The following is a 15508-nucleotide window of genomic DNA, read 5'->3' as shown; positions in this document are numbered from 1 at the left end:
AATTAGACCCACTAAGGGAATAAAAGAGTCTAAAACTCAGAGCCTGAAGCCCTAACAATCAGTCATTTTGGCTGGAAACTAGAAATCTCATGAGGGAGGCAATTTAGATAATTACCGTGATGATTTTAAACACCATTTGTGGGAGAACAGGAGCTCTTGCGGATTTATTGACAAGGGATTTCAGTATTTTAAGTCGTAGTGTTTTTGAGATTGGTCTGATAATCTCTCCCGGATCTCATTTCCTATGACTTCTTCCCATCTTTTCTCCCAGCCTCAATGTTACTTCCTTAGGAGTGTCCCTGTCACCCCAGGGGGAGGCTGTCTGTCCTTCAAACCCTTCCAGCACTTCCTACCATTCCCCACCCTCACCCCCTGTGCTCATTGGGGTCCTGAAGGGGAGCAGGTGGCCAACACCATTGTGGTGATGGGGAGTTCTGCCCCTGCTAACATGTCCTACCCTGGGAAAAAGTAGGTCGATTCTTGAAACACCCAGAATTCAGCCTACCCAGACCTGGGTCAGAGTCTGATCCCATAGGGTCATGTCTAGGACTTGCATAGTTAAACAACCAGGAAAGAAGGTGCCCCCAAATGAAGCGATGTGAGTAAATATGGTATAGGGAAAGAAAGACTGAAAAATTCGGGGTCCAGAGAAAAGTGCTGGGGCCTCAAGAATGCAGAGCCAAGATCCATTTACATTCCACTGGCAGCTTCAGTAAGGCCATAATTTTGTTATTTTTTTCCTTTCTGCCTGTTTTCCTCCTCTTAGTAGCTGAGGAAACCTTAAAAACCCTCAAATCGGCTGTGTGCTGGCTGAAGAGATCCTTGTTCTGAAGTGTGTCCAGGGGAAAGGAGACTCTGAGTGGAAATAATAGTTTGTGGCAGTAGAAAAGAAGGAAAGCAATCCTGTGGCCAGTCCAAGAAAGAAGGGTCTGTCGGGAAACAGCCCAATATGGTGGCAAGAATAAAGACTCTGGCACCAGAGAGACCAGTGTTCAAACTCCAGCTCCACCAAACATCTTGACCAGATATCTCAACTTTTCAGAACCTCAGTTCACTATAAAATGGAGATTTTAAAAATACTTAACATTTTGGGTTCTCTAGAAAGTTTCCAAGTGAGCTTCACCTAAAATCCAGAGACAGCTCTGGAGCCTGTTTGCTCTGGACAGGACCGACATCTTGGAACCGTAGGGAAAAGGCAAAAGAATCATGAAGATATCAGTCCTGACATTCTTGAGTTGGTGAAATAATCTCAGCTCCCATCCACCTACACAGTTGGCTCTATGATGAGGCCACTCTGTGAACAGGTTGGTCTCTGCTATTTGCAGGTAAATGTGCTTCCCAGTCAACATACCAGCCTTTAAAAACAGTATCTTCCCAGGTTGTAGGTAAACGTTATTTCAGATGAATCCTATTCATTTCATCATGAATATGATTTAAACATGAATTATATGTGCAAAGGGAACAGCACATAGTTGGCTCTTAGCACATTTAAACTCCTAGTTCTCTTTCCCCATGGTTCAAAACAGACAAATAGTGTCTCCTGAGGCTTACCTATGGCAGGAGGCTATGACTGCATAACTAAAAGAGAAAGGACATTGCTATTTGCTCTTCAAAGTTCAGCCCAGGTGACATCAATCCCTTTATGAAGTCGTTTTCCCTGGCTACACCCAGTCAGGCAGAGCTGATTACTCTTCCTCTACTGTATCCTCTGCCTATTTCTATTGCAGAGTTGATTCTGTTGTTCTGCAATGATTTGTTTAATGTCTATCTTTATACAGATGCTGGGTGATAAGCTCCTCAGGGGCAAGGGCCATGTTGATTCATCTTTATGCTTCTGGAGGTTTGCACAATGTCTGGCCCATAATACGTGTTCAACGTTTAATGAAAGGAACAAACGAACTAAGAGGGAAATGAGGAGGAAGGAGAGGTTGATGCTGAGGGATCTACCTTTACTTCTTTCTCCCAGTCCAGCACCCCTCTTCCTCACTCCTCACATCCAAGCTCCATACTCTTCCGGTCTCCCCAGTCTTGCTAGAGATCCTGTCCTAGGCCTCAGGAAGCATGACTTTGGCTTATAGATTAGGAAATTTGTGTTCTCAGCAGACAGCTGGTATGGAGAGAGATGTATGCAAATCAGATCATGAAACTTGCAGTCAGGGAAGTTGCATGACACCGCCCTGGCTGCTGAGACATTCAGGAAGTTGCTGTGTGAGGCTTCTGAGAAACTCTTTTAAGAAGGGCCACATTTAATGGGCTTATGTCTGTGCTCTCTGCCCTTTCTACTTGCCTGGAACATAGATACAATTTCTGGAGCTGCAACATCAATATTGAGACCTTGAGGAAAAGCCCCAGAGAACTACAGAAATCTCAGTCATGATGTTCTTCAATCATGAACCAATGTTTGCCATCCCTACCACTTTGGGTGTTTAATTATGTGAGAAAAAGCCACCTTTATATGTTTAAGTCACTGATGTCTGGCTTATGTTACTGCCAGCTGAAGATAATTCCAAACCGATAATGCAGTCTTCAAGGATCTTTACCTTGCTGTTGTTGCTGCCTCAAATGCTTTTCTCTGAAATTATCATAGGACTGGTCCCTTCTCAGAGTCAGATATTCAGTTCAAATGTTACCTTCTCAGAGGTGCCTTTTTGACCACCCTATCAGAAGATAACTACCCACGCTGCATATGTCATTCCTTAATAATATCATCTTGTTTTATTTTCCTCACTGCATTTATCACTATCTGAAATACTCTCTTTTGTTTGTTTCTTCTCAGTCACCAGCCCCACCCCCGCCACCACCACCACACACACCATGAATACAAGGACTTTATTTTGTTCAAAGCTGTTGTATCTACCGCACCTAGAAGAGCACTATGAATACGTTCCCAGAAAGAAAGATGACTTCTGGAGTTGGGCATGAATCTATTTTCCCATAGGAAATACTGTTATATATGATGAAAAGGTTTATAATTTTGGAAATTATGGGTTAAATACTGTTTATGACCTAAGTACTATGTATAACATTGTTTATATGGGATAATGAGTTCCAAGTCCAATTTCCCTTAATGAGCTCATTATGATCTTGACCATAGATCATGTTGCAGTTTATCCCCATCTCCAGAAAACCCTTCCTGCTTCCTTGCATTTTCTAGCTGCTTCCCACCTTTTATTCATAACAGTTTATCAGATTTTAACTCCTTGATGAAATTTTTTCTTTGGTTTATTTACAGGAGGTTTAAAAAAATTTTTTAAAGAGTCTCAATCTCAAGTAGATTTTTTAAAACATTAATTTCTTGAGTGCCACTACCTATACTCCTTGCAGGCTCTATCCCATTTCACATCCTGTCTTGTGAAAATTATACTTAAGTCCTTTCAAAGCCAACTCACCTAACTTCCTGCCTTCCCAGTGGTTTCTAAACTTCATATCTTTTCCATGAGTTCATTTAAAAGCAGCAAAATCTTTTTCTCAATCCTTTCTGGACGCTTTCCCCTGTTCTGCTTTTCAGTGTGAGGAGCATGGTGGACTATAATGAGGTGCAGGTAAGACCTTGACATGCAGAGGAGTGAAGTTTTTCTTTTACTGGTTAACAAGTATGGATTTACATATAGAAACCATATATGTAGATGAATAGGATAGGGTCACTCTGTTACACACACTTAAGGAATAAAAAGTAGACCAGTTTGAGGAAGTGGAGTGTTTAAAAGTTAAGTGGTAAAAAATCCAGGAATATAGGTTGGGTACTGTGACAGAGATCGTTAGTTGTTTCCCAATATCCATTCTTTCCCTTTTCCTTAGTAATGAAGTCCTTTTTATTTAAGGTGGCAATGAAAAAAGACTGTATTCCCAAGTCTTGCTTGCAATTAGGTGTGACCATATGATACAGTTCTGGAAGTTTTGTTTGAAACTGATTAAGGAGAGCTGATCCATCTGGACATGGTGGCCTTTTGACCTTCCTCTTTTCTTCCTCCTTCTATGCTGGAACATGGACTGATGGCTGAGATTCTGTGCTCATCTTGCCTCATAAAGCGAGGTTGAGGATAGAAGCCATAAACAAAGAATGGGTGCAGAACCATCTGGTTTCATGGAGCCACTGTACCAGTTCCGAATTGCCCAACCTAGGACTTTTTTTTTTTTTTTTTTTCTGGGCGAGAATAAACCCTGGTGTCTTTAGCAATTGCTACTTTGAATTTTCTGTTAAATATAGCCAAGTATAATCTTTTCTGATACAGATGCACACTTGGGAAGCTTTTAAAAATACCCCAATGCCCAGGCAGCATCCCAGACCAATTAAATCAGAAACTCTAGGGATGGAACTCAAGCATCAGCAAATTTTTAAAGCTTCCCAGGTGATTTCCATGTGCAGCCCAGGTTGAGAATCGCTATTCTAGGCAGGTAGGCCTCATATGTTGCATGTTCAACAATCTCCTGGGAGATGCAGTGGTGCTTGTTAAAAATTTGGATTTCCTATCCTTACCTCCCCAGAGGTTTTGGTTCTTCAGGTCCGAGGACATCCCACCCACATGATTCTGATACAGGAAATCTAGTTTCAAATTTGAAGAAACACTGCTTTAGGCAATAGGAAATCTTTAGAAGTTTTAAAGCAAAGAAGTGACAAGATCAGAGGAGCGTTTTAGGAGGAGGATTAGCCTGGATCTAGAGAATAAATTGAAGAGAAGAGGTGAGAGACTGAACTCAAGGAGACCGATTAGGACGTACTACAACAGCTGATGGCCTGAGGGGATACATCTGTGAACTAACAGGTGGCCACAGAAATGGGGAAAAAAGAAGGGACACAATAGACACTGAAAAAGATAAAGCACTACAGGACTTGGTACCTTATGGGATAGGGGTGGGGGCACTTCAAGATATTCTCAGTGACTGAAGAATACGAGGGCTTTGGCTTCTTCTGGGTTAGTATATATTTCCCCTTGTGCTCAAACTCAGATTGGTGTAGTTTATTAGTTCACTGTGTATCTACAGCTGCAAATGTTAAATTGACTTTTGTTAACCTGATTGTATCTAGAGTCTTCTATTAGGTTGAAAACATTTATTTCGGTCGAGAGCGGTGAGTCACACCTATAATCCTGGCACTTTGGGAGGCTTAACTGGGAGTGTTGCTTGAGGCCAGAAGTTCAGGACTAGCTTTGGCAATATAGCAAGACCCCAGTCTCTATAATAAGTTTTTAAAAAATTAGCTGTGTCTGGTAGTGCATGCCTGTAGTCCCAGCTACTCAGGAGGCTGATGCACAATGATTGCTTGAGCCTAGGAGTTCAGTATCAGCAGAGTGAGACCTCATCTCTAAAAATAAATAATAATAATAATTATTATTATTTGCTAAATCAGTTCTATTTAAAGGCTCAGATACTTTATCCTAACCAGAGTCAATCTCACAAATAAGTTTACTCTGTGTGTGTGCATTATATGTGTGTGTGTGTGTGTGTGTGTATGCATATAGGCAAGTAATTAAATGTTTTTCATGAAGTTTTACCTTTTTTAAAGTCATGTCTTGTAAAGCAAAGGAAATAAACAGGCAGTATAGATACTGCTCTGGAGCTGTGCTTTGTGTAGTTGTCTTTCTGGGATAAGACACAACCAAACTCTCAGGGCCTAGAAGTTTAAAGAACAGTTTGAAAAGGTGATCTCAATGGTAACTGATTTATTAACAATTCAATGTAAAGCCCCTAAGCAGAGAGATGTTATGATACTATTTTATCAAATAACATAAATTAAATATAATTACTTTATGAGTAATCCTAAGATACACACTGCCTGCTGATTTGTTTTAATAATGAACACCTATGCCTCACAAATTGCTCTTAGGTATATAAGCTCTTCAAGTCCTCTGTTATTTAAAAACCAACATATTGGTTTTAGAGTTAAAAACAGAAAATAATAATAGTTAAATGTAATAAGATGTAAACTAATCGAATCTCTCAATTCTTACTAAAGTTGGTATCAAGACATGGCTTCTTTTAAGAATAGATTTTAAAATACCAAGTAAACTTAATGAACAGAAAAGACAAATATATCATCATTGAGCTTACCACTCAGGGTGCAAAGATGAATGAAACAGCCTTGGTCTCTTGCACTTCAGAGTATGCATAATAAAGTGACGGGGAATTTTTCCAAAGTTAGTTTTAGATTTAATTTTCTCTCTAATTGGAACATCTATTAAGAAGACTCTAACAAGGTGAAAGTCATTAAATCTGTTCAAAACATAAAGTGGCTAAACTTCAATAGGCAATGGGAGAACACTTGTCTTGATGCCATATCACATTTAGTCAAGTTGCTAATAATAGCACTCTTCTTTAATCTGGTGTGAGTTAGAACCTTGTCCTTGCTCCAGAGTATGCTTATGGTCCTTAAGCAACAGTATTAGCACCACTGAGGGGCCACCACCTGCTCAATTCTCTCATGCACACCAGGGAAAGTGAACACCCCGGGTGTGGATTGTTAGATGCCTCACCAGCTCTCCCCAGTATTCCTTCTTGTAGCTGGGTTTTGGTTTACCTTTATAATATAATTAAATTGATTAAAGAAAAGTGCTAGCTGTATTAGAGACTCAGTATCTTTGTGAATAATCCATTTCATACAGAAAACATTCTATTCCATGGTCACAAACTCTACCCTTACATGAGTTACGATCTTGCAGATGATTAAACATTGGGCCCTGGGATGGCTTTGTATGAAAGTGTGGAGAGAGTATACAGAAAGTCCTAGGTAAAACCTCACCTCTAGTTGGGGCAAAACAACCCAAAGTGTGTATTTAGCTGCAGATAGGTCAAGGAAATTTATCATGGGTTAAATTATGTGCCCTTTCCCCCAACCAAATTCATATGTTTAAGTCCTAACCACCCAGTACCTCAGAATGTGACCTTTGTTTTTGGAAAAAGGGTCATTGCAGGTGTAAATAATTAAGCTAGGATGAGTTCATACTGGAGTAGAATTGGCCCCTAATTCAATATGACTACTGTCCTTGTAAAAAAGAGGAATTTGAACATGGATGCACACACAAGGAAAAGGCCATGTGAAGCTGAAGGCAGAGATGCTTCACCAAACCGAAGAATGTGAAAGACAGCAAGCCACCAGAAGCTAGAGGAGAAGCATGGAGCAGATACTTCCTCACAGCCCTCAGAGGGAACCAACCCTGCTGACACCTTGACCTTAGATTTCCAGCCTCCAGAACTGTGAGACAATAAATTTATTTTGTTTAAGCCACTCCGTTTGTGGCACTTTGTTATGGCGGCCTTAGCAAACTAATACTGAATTGTTCTTCCATCGTTATCTTTATGGATAGTATATTCTTTTGGTATAGACATAACTTGCCTTTCACTATTTGACCAGTGAGAGCTAAACATTTTAAAGCAAAACACCTTTAATAGGAAGAGAAAAGAAAAGACAGAGTGGGTGGCCTGGCATGCCTGCCAACCACAGGTCCCTTTTACTAACGGCAGAGGCTGTCACTGCCCACATAAGGCCTCCTCCACCGTGTGGATCAAAGAAGGCTGAGAGCTGCTTCCATGGTCACCGAGCTCTTCTTCCATACTCTTATCACCATACATCGTTGCTGCTGGCTCAGCCAAAGTGTTGAAAGGACTATTACTAAGCTGCAATTCTTTATTTTCCCTTATCTCACTCTCCCACCTCCTAACTTCCTAGCAAACAGAACAAGGGTAGGAACAAGAAATCAACTAGAAGTGGGACTGAAAAAATCAGGGCGAAAAAATCAGGGCAAAAAAATTAAACACAAATCAAAACCAAAACAGACTCCACCCCAACCCCCCCAGAAAAAGGCAGGAGGAGGAGAAGGAAGAGAAGGAAAGAACATGAGGAAAGAGAAGGAGAAAAGGAGAGAAACAGGTCTGGTTGGTCAGGAAAATCATTGCTGGAGGGAAAAACCTGAAATCTGTGCTTCTGGACCTCTAGGATGTTCGTTACATTGCTCTAGAAAGCCAATAGGAAATTAAGATTCTTCTTGTGAATGTACTAGGTTTGGATCTCAACATATTATTTCCGGAATTCAATCATCAAACTTCTTGCATGATATTTATTTTTTCATAGCTCAGTTCTGTAAACAAGGTCCATGTGATTCTCTATGAATTAATGTAGAATAATGGAATGAGGAAGCCAGGAGATTCAGAAGTCCTTCAATGTAACACTGTCATTTTGGCGTGCAGAGAATTTAACAGACTTGTCCAATGACATATAGCCTATACCAGAACTAGGCCAAAAGATTTTATAAATATTATTTGATATATGAAGAATCTAGGCTGATTTATGTAAAAAATTTCTAAACTTAACTACTTTTGAATCTTCATATCTCCATATAATTTTTATGGTATCTCAGAACAGGCTTTTTGATAGCCATCTGGGAAACTTCCACCTAGAAAATGTCTCAGAATGTAATATAAGAAACCAAGGTAAACAAAGATTTATTCCAGCCAAAGTATTTATTTGGAAAATATTTGATGGATTAACTTTTTATATAAATGTATCTCGGCAATCTGAATTTTTAAATGTCTTATTATATTACCACTAACTTGCACTTAATAGCATTTACTATATGCTTGCGGTCTCCTAAGTACTTGATCCTCACAATGCCATATACTCTGGTCCCATTATTCATTAACTCCATTTTGCTGTTGAGGAAACTGAAGCAGAGAGGGAGAGACAATATCTTTGCCCGACTTCATACTACATGTGAATAGCAGCACAGCCAGACTGCCAGTCTGGTCCCAAAGTCTATGCACTTAACCACGATACCAGACTACCACTAACCACTCTGTGAATCAATCTGCATACAAATTCACCCATGTCCTTAGCAAGTGGTAAAGCCTGGTCTAATCTGATTTAGAATCAGTGCTCTTTCCCATCACACTCTACTGTCTCTCATGTTGTCATACTTAAACTTAAGATCTGGAGTAAATCTTTCTACATTTAGATTCTCTTGAGAGCCATTAACCAAAAGCAGCAGTGTGAGAAAGATTCAGTCCAACACAGACACCACAGAAGCACAGCAGCAAAAAGAGAATCCTGACCACCAGCCCCCCAGCCATAGCAGTAACTCCCAAGGTGTGCTGGAGGATGTTGGCTCCTGGGGCCACTCCTACCTTGTATGCTGTGCTCATCTCTCCTCATTCTCAGGTGTGGCTGATGGAACAGGTACAAGACCAGGGAGCATGAGATCCAAGTCCCAGTCTTAGAGCAGCCTCTGACTGGCAGTGCCATTGACAGTCTGGACATGTGGTCCCTGCTTCACATACCTAGCTCAGTTAACTCTCTCAACTACCCCATGAATGGGCATGAAGGACTTCATCCTTACAGATGAAGGAATTGTGACTTAGAGAGCTAAGCATTCCATCAAGGTCATAAAAGATGACACTCATTCCAGGTCTGCCTGACTCCAAAATCTTCACGTATTCTTTGTCAAGTTGCCTCAAAAGTCACTTAAATCCTCTGAATCTTAGACTCCTCAAATATAAAGTGCCATGGAGCCCTAGGGATTCTATGAAGTGTCTCAGAAGTCACTTTGAGAAGGAAGTCCAAAAGGCAGGACCTGACCTACTCCTGATAGGCACGTGGACACATACACACACACCCCAAGCAGTGCAGAGTTATGCCACTGCGACTGTCTTTATAAATATGGCTTTCTACATTTAGATTGAAGGGAGGATTTGCTGCTAAAAAAGTTTGAGGCCCATTCTTGCAAGTGATCTTTAAGGCCCCTCTTAGCTTTAATGTCTGGGACAGGGTCAGAGTTGTAAAGACATAACTTTAGTAAATCAAGACAGTCAGAGGATACTTTGTATTCACCTGGCTGGGTCTGTCCAGAATGCAGATATCTGATGCCTTTGAAAGAAAAGGCTGTGCCTGAACTCTGCTGATCCAAACACAATTTGAGAAAGCGTGTTGATTGTATTTGTGGAGATGGCCTTCTTAAACAGGGCCAGTTAGAAAAAACATAGTCTGAGTTTTCTTCTCCCGTGAGCTCCACCATTCCTTGAGGGTTTCAGTTGGTCAGGGATGAAAGGTATGTAGCATTAGTGGCTTGTTTAATGCTAACTCCTTGTTTTTCCTCTTCCTCTCTATCTTGCCTCATCTTCTTTTTACCCTGTCCACCTTCAATCCTGTCTACCTCCTGTGGCCCCAAAGCCAGCTGGTAGACCAGGAAGTGGGAGTCTGTATTGGTAGAAAATGAATAAATTCACTTACTCCTTCAAGTCCTGCCTTTCCCACACTTGTATTCCTACACAGAGCAAAGAATTGGTGCTTAAGCAATAGCCATGAGGCAGGTGTCTTGAGGAATGCATGGGGAGCCAAGTATTACTTTTCCTCCACCCTATAGCTCATACCCCTTCATTAAAAGCTACATATGTAGAAAATAATAAAGTTGACAAAAAACCAAGTGTTAATCACGGTGATGATGACAATACCTTTCTAAAAAACAATTATTGAGGTATACTTTATATGCCATAAAATTAGCTCATTATTAGTTACAATTCAATGACTTTTAGTAAATATACAGTATTGTATAACCATCACCATAGTCCAATTCTGGAACATTTCCATCATCCCAAAAAGATTTCTCGAGCTCATCTGTAGTCTCTACCTGCTCTCGCCTCCAGTCCTAGGTAACCACTAATCTACTTTCTGTCTCTATAGATTTGCTTTTCCTGGGCATTTCACATGAATGGAATCATATGACATGTGATGTTTTGTGGCTGGCTTCTTTCAGTTGGCATACTCTTTTTAAGGTTAGTTTATATTTTATCATGTATCCTTTATACGTAACACCTTTTTGAATGGCAGCATTATATAGAGGAAAAAGCATGAAAATCAGAAGCATGCAAACATGGGGCTGAATCAAAGCTGTGTCACTTCTTAGCTGTGTGACTTTGGGCAAGTTCCTCAATCTCTCTAGACCTATTTGTAGAATAAGAATAATAATCCCTCCCTCAGCTGAAAGGAAATAGCTGGGTTGTGATGACAAATAGTGGGCGCGCAAGAAATCCAGTTCTTCTCTCTAAATTTCGCCAAAAACCTTTGCTTTTCTCACTCCTGCTTCAAACTTTAAAGTGACTCCTACAGCCTCCCTACCAGCCTTCACATCAAGCTTGAAACAAGAACCCACATAACAAATGATATCAGAAACGGAATTCCGCCAAAGGGAATCACATCCTTCATTAACGGAGCCCAGATGGTGAGGAACTAAAGGGATTTCCTTCAATTATATTGCTGTCATTTTTTATAACGAATGTTAAATTGCATTTAATTATTATTGTAAGGGGGGAAATGTGTCAAGTTCTATCCTAGAATATTTTATGGAGTTGGTTTTCCTTTGGCAAGGCTCTAAGAACATCTTATTTTCCCACTAATTCTTATAAAACTGCCCCCATTAACATCAACACACAGATAACATGCAAACAAGTAGCAAAGAGCTAAAAACACCAGAGTAAATAAAATCCACCTCAAGCCAGGTACCATGGTGCATTCTTGTAGTCCCAGCTACTCTGGAGCCTGAGGCGGGAGGATTACTTGAGTGCAGAAGTTTAAGACCAGCCGGGGTAACATAGCTATAATACCTCTCAAAGAAAAAAAAAATCCACCTGAAATCCTCCAAACTCAACTTTTAGTCAATAGTTTCAGACCTTTTCTTTCCTGAACCTTCAGAAGACCCTGAATTTTGTGTGTGTCGCAAAATAGACTGAATCGAACTCCTTGTTCATTCCTCCAGCCCACCATCTCTGATTAGAACATGTTCTCATTTTGAGTTCCAACTCAGAGGGATCCTAAATGCAATCCCATCCTATAATCTAGGACACAAAGTTTACAGAGTTGCTACTCCTTAGCCTTGAGAGAAAATTTCCTGTCCTAAATCTGCTTTTCCTTTTGAATTACTGTTTATCTGTACTTCTAAATTTACCAGTGCTCCTTCACATTTCTGATTTTTTTTTTCTGTCTCTCTCCTTGTCTGAGATTTATCACAGCTGTATTTCTTCACCAAACTCCTGAACCACTTAATTCCCCTCCATTTCCCGGATTTACTTCTTGTTAAGAATAGTATAAGAGTTAAAACAGAAAAGGATAAGGCTTCTCAATATTTTTACTAAATAAAATATGGTTATAACATATTTTGTTTATCCCTCTCTTCAAGGAGATGAGTACAGCATATCATTTTTCATGATATAAAATGCCTGTGGTCAAATGTAAAGTAATTATTAACAGAGGCAGTATATGGCTTTCCAATCTTTATAAACTTTATAATCACTATACATATTATTGGAATTAAAGATGGCAAACAGTGATTCTTTCAAATAGGTAAATTAGATATACTTCCTACAAGTGATCAGCTTGTAACATTATCAGGTGAGTCTAATTTGAACTTCTGCTGCGATAAAGCTATACTCACATAGATAAACAGGTAAATACTATATCCAGACTGAACAAAGCACTTAAATTAATGTATTGATGTATTTGTATAAGGATTCCTGTGTTTCCTTGCTCTAAGTACTTATCTTGAAAATAGGAACTGTTAACAAAATCCATGGCTAACTTTTTCCCCAATATTAAGAGATGAAAGAAAGTGTAGGTAGGGTCCCAAGAGAGAAGTTTTCACATACTGAATTATCTCCTAATACAGGCTAGAAAAACGATAAATCTGATGAAAATAAATAAAAATTTGGGGGACAAAATCATGTTAGGTTTATTGAGATATGTGAATTTCCCCAATCTTTAAAAACTGTTCTTATGCTAAAACTTACCCCTTCCTATCACCACAGTGAAGAGAGTAATTTATATCTAAGACCTTATTTTAGGGATTTTATTTTAGGCGGTATCATAGGAATTTATCTCATGGTATAAATAGTTTAGTAAATCTGGGATTTGGGAAAGAGTTTTTCTCTACAGCACAGGCCTTTTGTTCAGCAGCAGATGACAAAATAATTTTGAGGCAAGATGATTTAACTTCAGTTTGATGTCCAGCCATCCACCCCAAATCTTATGCTCCAAATTCCAGAATGTGGCCAGAGTATTGAAAATTAAGTTTTTAAAAAATCATTTGATCCAAATCTTCTAAATATATATACATATATGCAAGAATGACACAGCCTTCAAATTATGGTTTGGCCTATAGTTTGTGTATAGCTCTCTAGAGAATTTCGATCTTAAGGTTAAAATCTCAAATATGTGGAGATCATGTCTGAGGACTTGACTACCATAAAATTCTGTCAGCATCCATGCATCATGTATATGGATTACCAAATAATGCCGAGTCTCCTACCCTGAGATGGCAGCCAATTTTTGGTGTGCCTGACGGGCCATTTCACAGCCTTTGGTTCTTGTCTTGTGCATTTCCGCCCGGAGTGAGGGGCAGCTGACCGAGACATCCCCAATAGAAATGACCAGCTCTCGGTACAGGGCCACTTGTGTGTTGAACTCTTGGACAAGCTGGAAAAGAAGTGAGTTTTTTTTTTTTTACCAAACATTTCTCATCAGAAAGTTTCCTGTTTCGGAGTACATAAACAGGGGCTTTCACTGACCCCTGAGTCAGCTCCCCAGATCTCCAGCTAAGGAACCTAGGAATTGTTTAAAGCAGAAGGCACCAAAATGGCAAGTCTCTTTGTCCAAGGCAAGTATTTATTTCCATAGGCAAGCCTGGCCATGGAAGCTCTATTTCCAGACCTACTTCCCCTCACCCTTTCAGACTCAGTTTCTGAAGAGCAAGAGAGCATATTTGGAGCGCTACCATGCCACTCCCAGGCCAACAGAGAATGATGCTGGGGACTCCTACATAGACGGTCCCCTCTCCTACTGCTAGGACATGGCTTTTAAGTTGCACGGCGGGAGGGGCGGGGGAGGCGACAGGTAGGGTGTAATAGGCAAACCATTCACCTTTTGCTGGGCCACTGAACCTCTCGGCCTGACGGCCTGACGGGAAGACCAGCTACAGCCTCTGCGCTGGAACCTTCGACCCCTCCGCAGCGCCCCGTGCGCTGTATTTGGGTTTGTTTGCTACTCTGTCCCCAGAAAGCAGCATCCCCACCTCCTCATCCCTCCCTCCTCCGTGAGCGAGCCAGTTCACTGTGTCTTTCGCATCCACCATTCTTCGAGGGGGTACAGGCACAACCTACAGCCGCTGATCCCCAAGACCCTTGCTGTCACACTTCTTTCTGCAGGGTTATTACGACCAGGGTGTCACCCTGAATTTGGGGGACTGCAGATTTAAAAATAGTGCATGTGCCACGTGATCGGCATTGAGGAGCTGAGGGTGGGGGAGTGGCTGGCACTCAGGCAAATGATTAACATACATGACTCCCCCCACCCCCTCTCAATTAAAAAAAAAAAAAAAGAGGCGCAGTTTTCACCCACCATCTTGCAGTCGTCCAGGGCTCGTTGGGTTTTGTGGGCGCTCTCGGAGCCGCTGCCCCTGCGCTCCCAATCTCCGCTCTGCAGCGGGGGCTTGCTGATCTGGAAGATCGAGGAGCGGGTGGACCGGCTGGGGCGCTTTTTGCGCCCATTCGGTGCAGAACTCATGCATACACATCCACCAAGCCGAAGCCGCTGGTGCAGTGCGCCCCGGCGCGGGCGGCCCGGTTGTTGCCCTGGGCGCCGCCGCCAAGCAGCCGGAGCCCGGACCTGAGGCGCGCAGCTCACAGTGCTGGGGCTGGCTGCGCGGGTCGGTAACCTTCAGCTTGAAGGAGAGCCGGGGAAGCGCTAGCTGTGCCGTGCAGCATCGCTTCCACTAGCAGCGAGGAAGGAGCGCGATCAAGTTCTGCTCAGCAGCATTGCCGACCCTGTCCCGGGAGCTGGGCGCTGGCGCGGGCTCGCACTGCCTTCCTCTCGGCATGGATTGCAAGGCTGGGCGAGAAGGAACGCGCCGCCCGGCGGTTCCGAGTTTCCATTCAGGTGGGGGAGCAGCTTTCAAAGCCTGCGCTGCAAGGTGGGGGGCGGAAAGGGGTGTCGCTCTTGCTTCAGTGTCTTCCCGCAGCGGCACTCGGTTCGTCTTTCCCCTCCCTCCACTGTCGCCAGGCCTGGAAGGACTGGCCGTCCCCAAAGCAAGCAATTGGCTCTAATCGGCTGCCTTGATCCCTCGTCTCTAAGGGCTTGTCTGTTTGAAGATCCCAGATGAATCTGTGGCGGGACTGGCAGACGCAGAGAATCGGTCCGGCTGACGTTGTTCGCGGGCCCGCACATTGATAGGACGGGAATACTAATGTGATCTGTCCATGCAACCCCCTTCCCCCTCCACAGTTTATGCACTTATCCAATCAAATCCCCGGGAACATCAATTGCAATATTACTTCATCTGCTCTATTATTAGAAACGAAAAGTGTCATCAGAGTGGAGCACATGCCACATGCTGGGACCTAAACATGGATTTCAAATAAGCCAGTGTGGGCTTGAGGCCCTCACCAACTGAGACTGAGACAGGGGCCACAGGAGGGAGTGAGGTTTTGCTCCAAATGGAAGACCTCTTGATAACCTAAAAGGAGAGCTTTGTTTCCC

The 15508-nt window shown here is 42.0% G+C and overlaps 1 protein-coding gene across 3 annotated transcripts in view; it reads right to left on the bottom strand.

Moving 5' to 3' along the window:
• RGS7BP (regulator of G protein signaling 7 binding protein) overlaps positions 1–15146 on the bottom strand; it is a 106305-nt gene extending 91159 nt beyond the window's left edge. For all 3 annotated transcript variants that reach the window (XR_948251.4, NM_001029875.3, XM_005248502.5), the window contains exons 1-2: positions 14372–15146; positions 13284–13450 (exon numbers count right to left, since the gene is read on the bottom strand). Coding sequence is in view for 2 of the 3 variants with exons in the window: in NM_001029875.3 (NP_001025046.1) it covers positions 13284–13450; positions 14372–14536 (332 nt within the window). In the remaining variant the exon portion in view is untranslated. The remainder of the gene's footprint in view (positions 1–13283; positions 13451–14371) is intronic.
• Positions 15147–15508: the final 362 nt, after the last annotated feature.

This window comes from Homo sapiens, chromosome 5, assembly GCF_000001405.40.
Source record: "Homo sapiens chromosome 5, GRCh38.p14 Primary Assembly".
In the NCBI taxonomy this organism is placed as follows: domain Eukaryota; kingdom Metazoa; phylum Chordata; class Mammalia; order Primates; family Hominidae; genus Homo; species Homo sapiens.
Note: the sequence above shows the minus strand (reverse complement) of the source record. Positions and strands in the feature narration are given on the sequence as shown.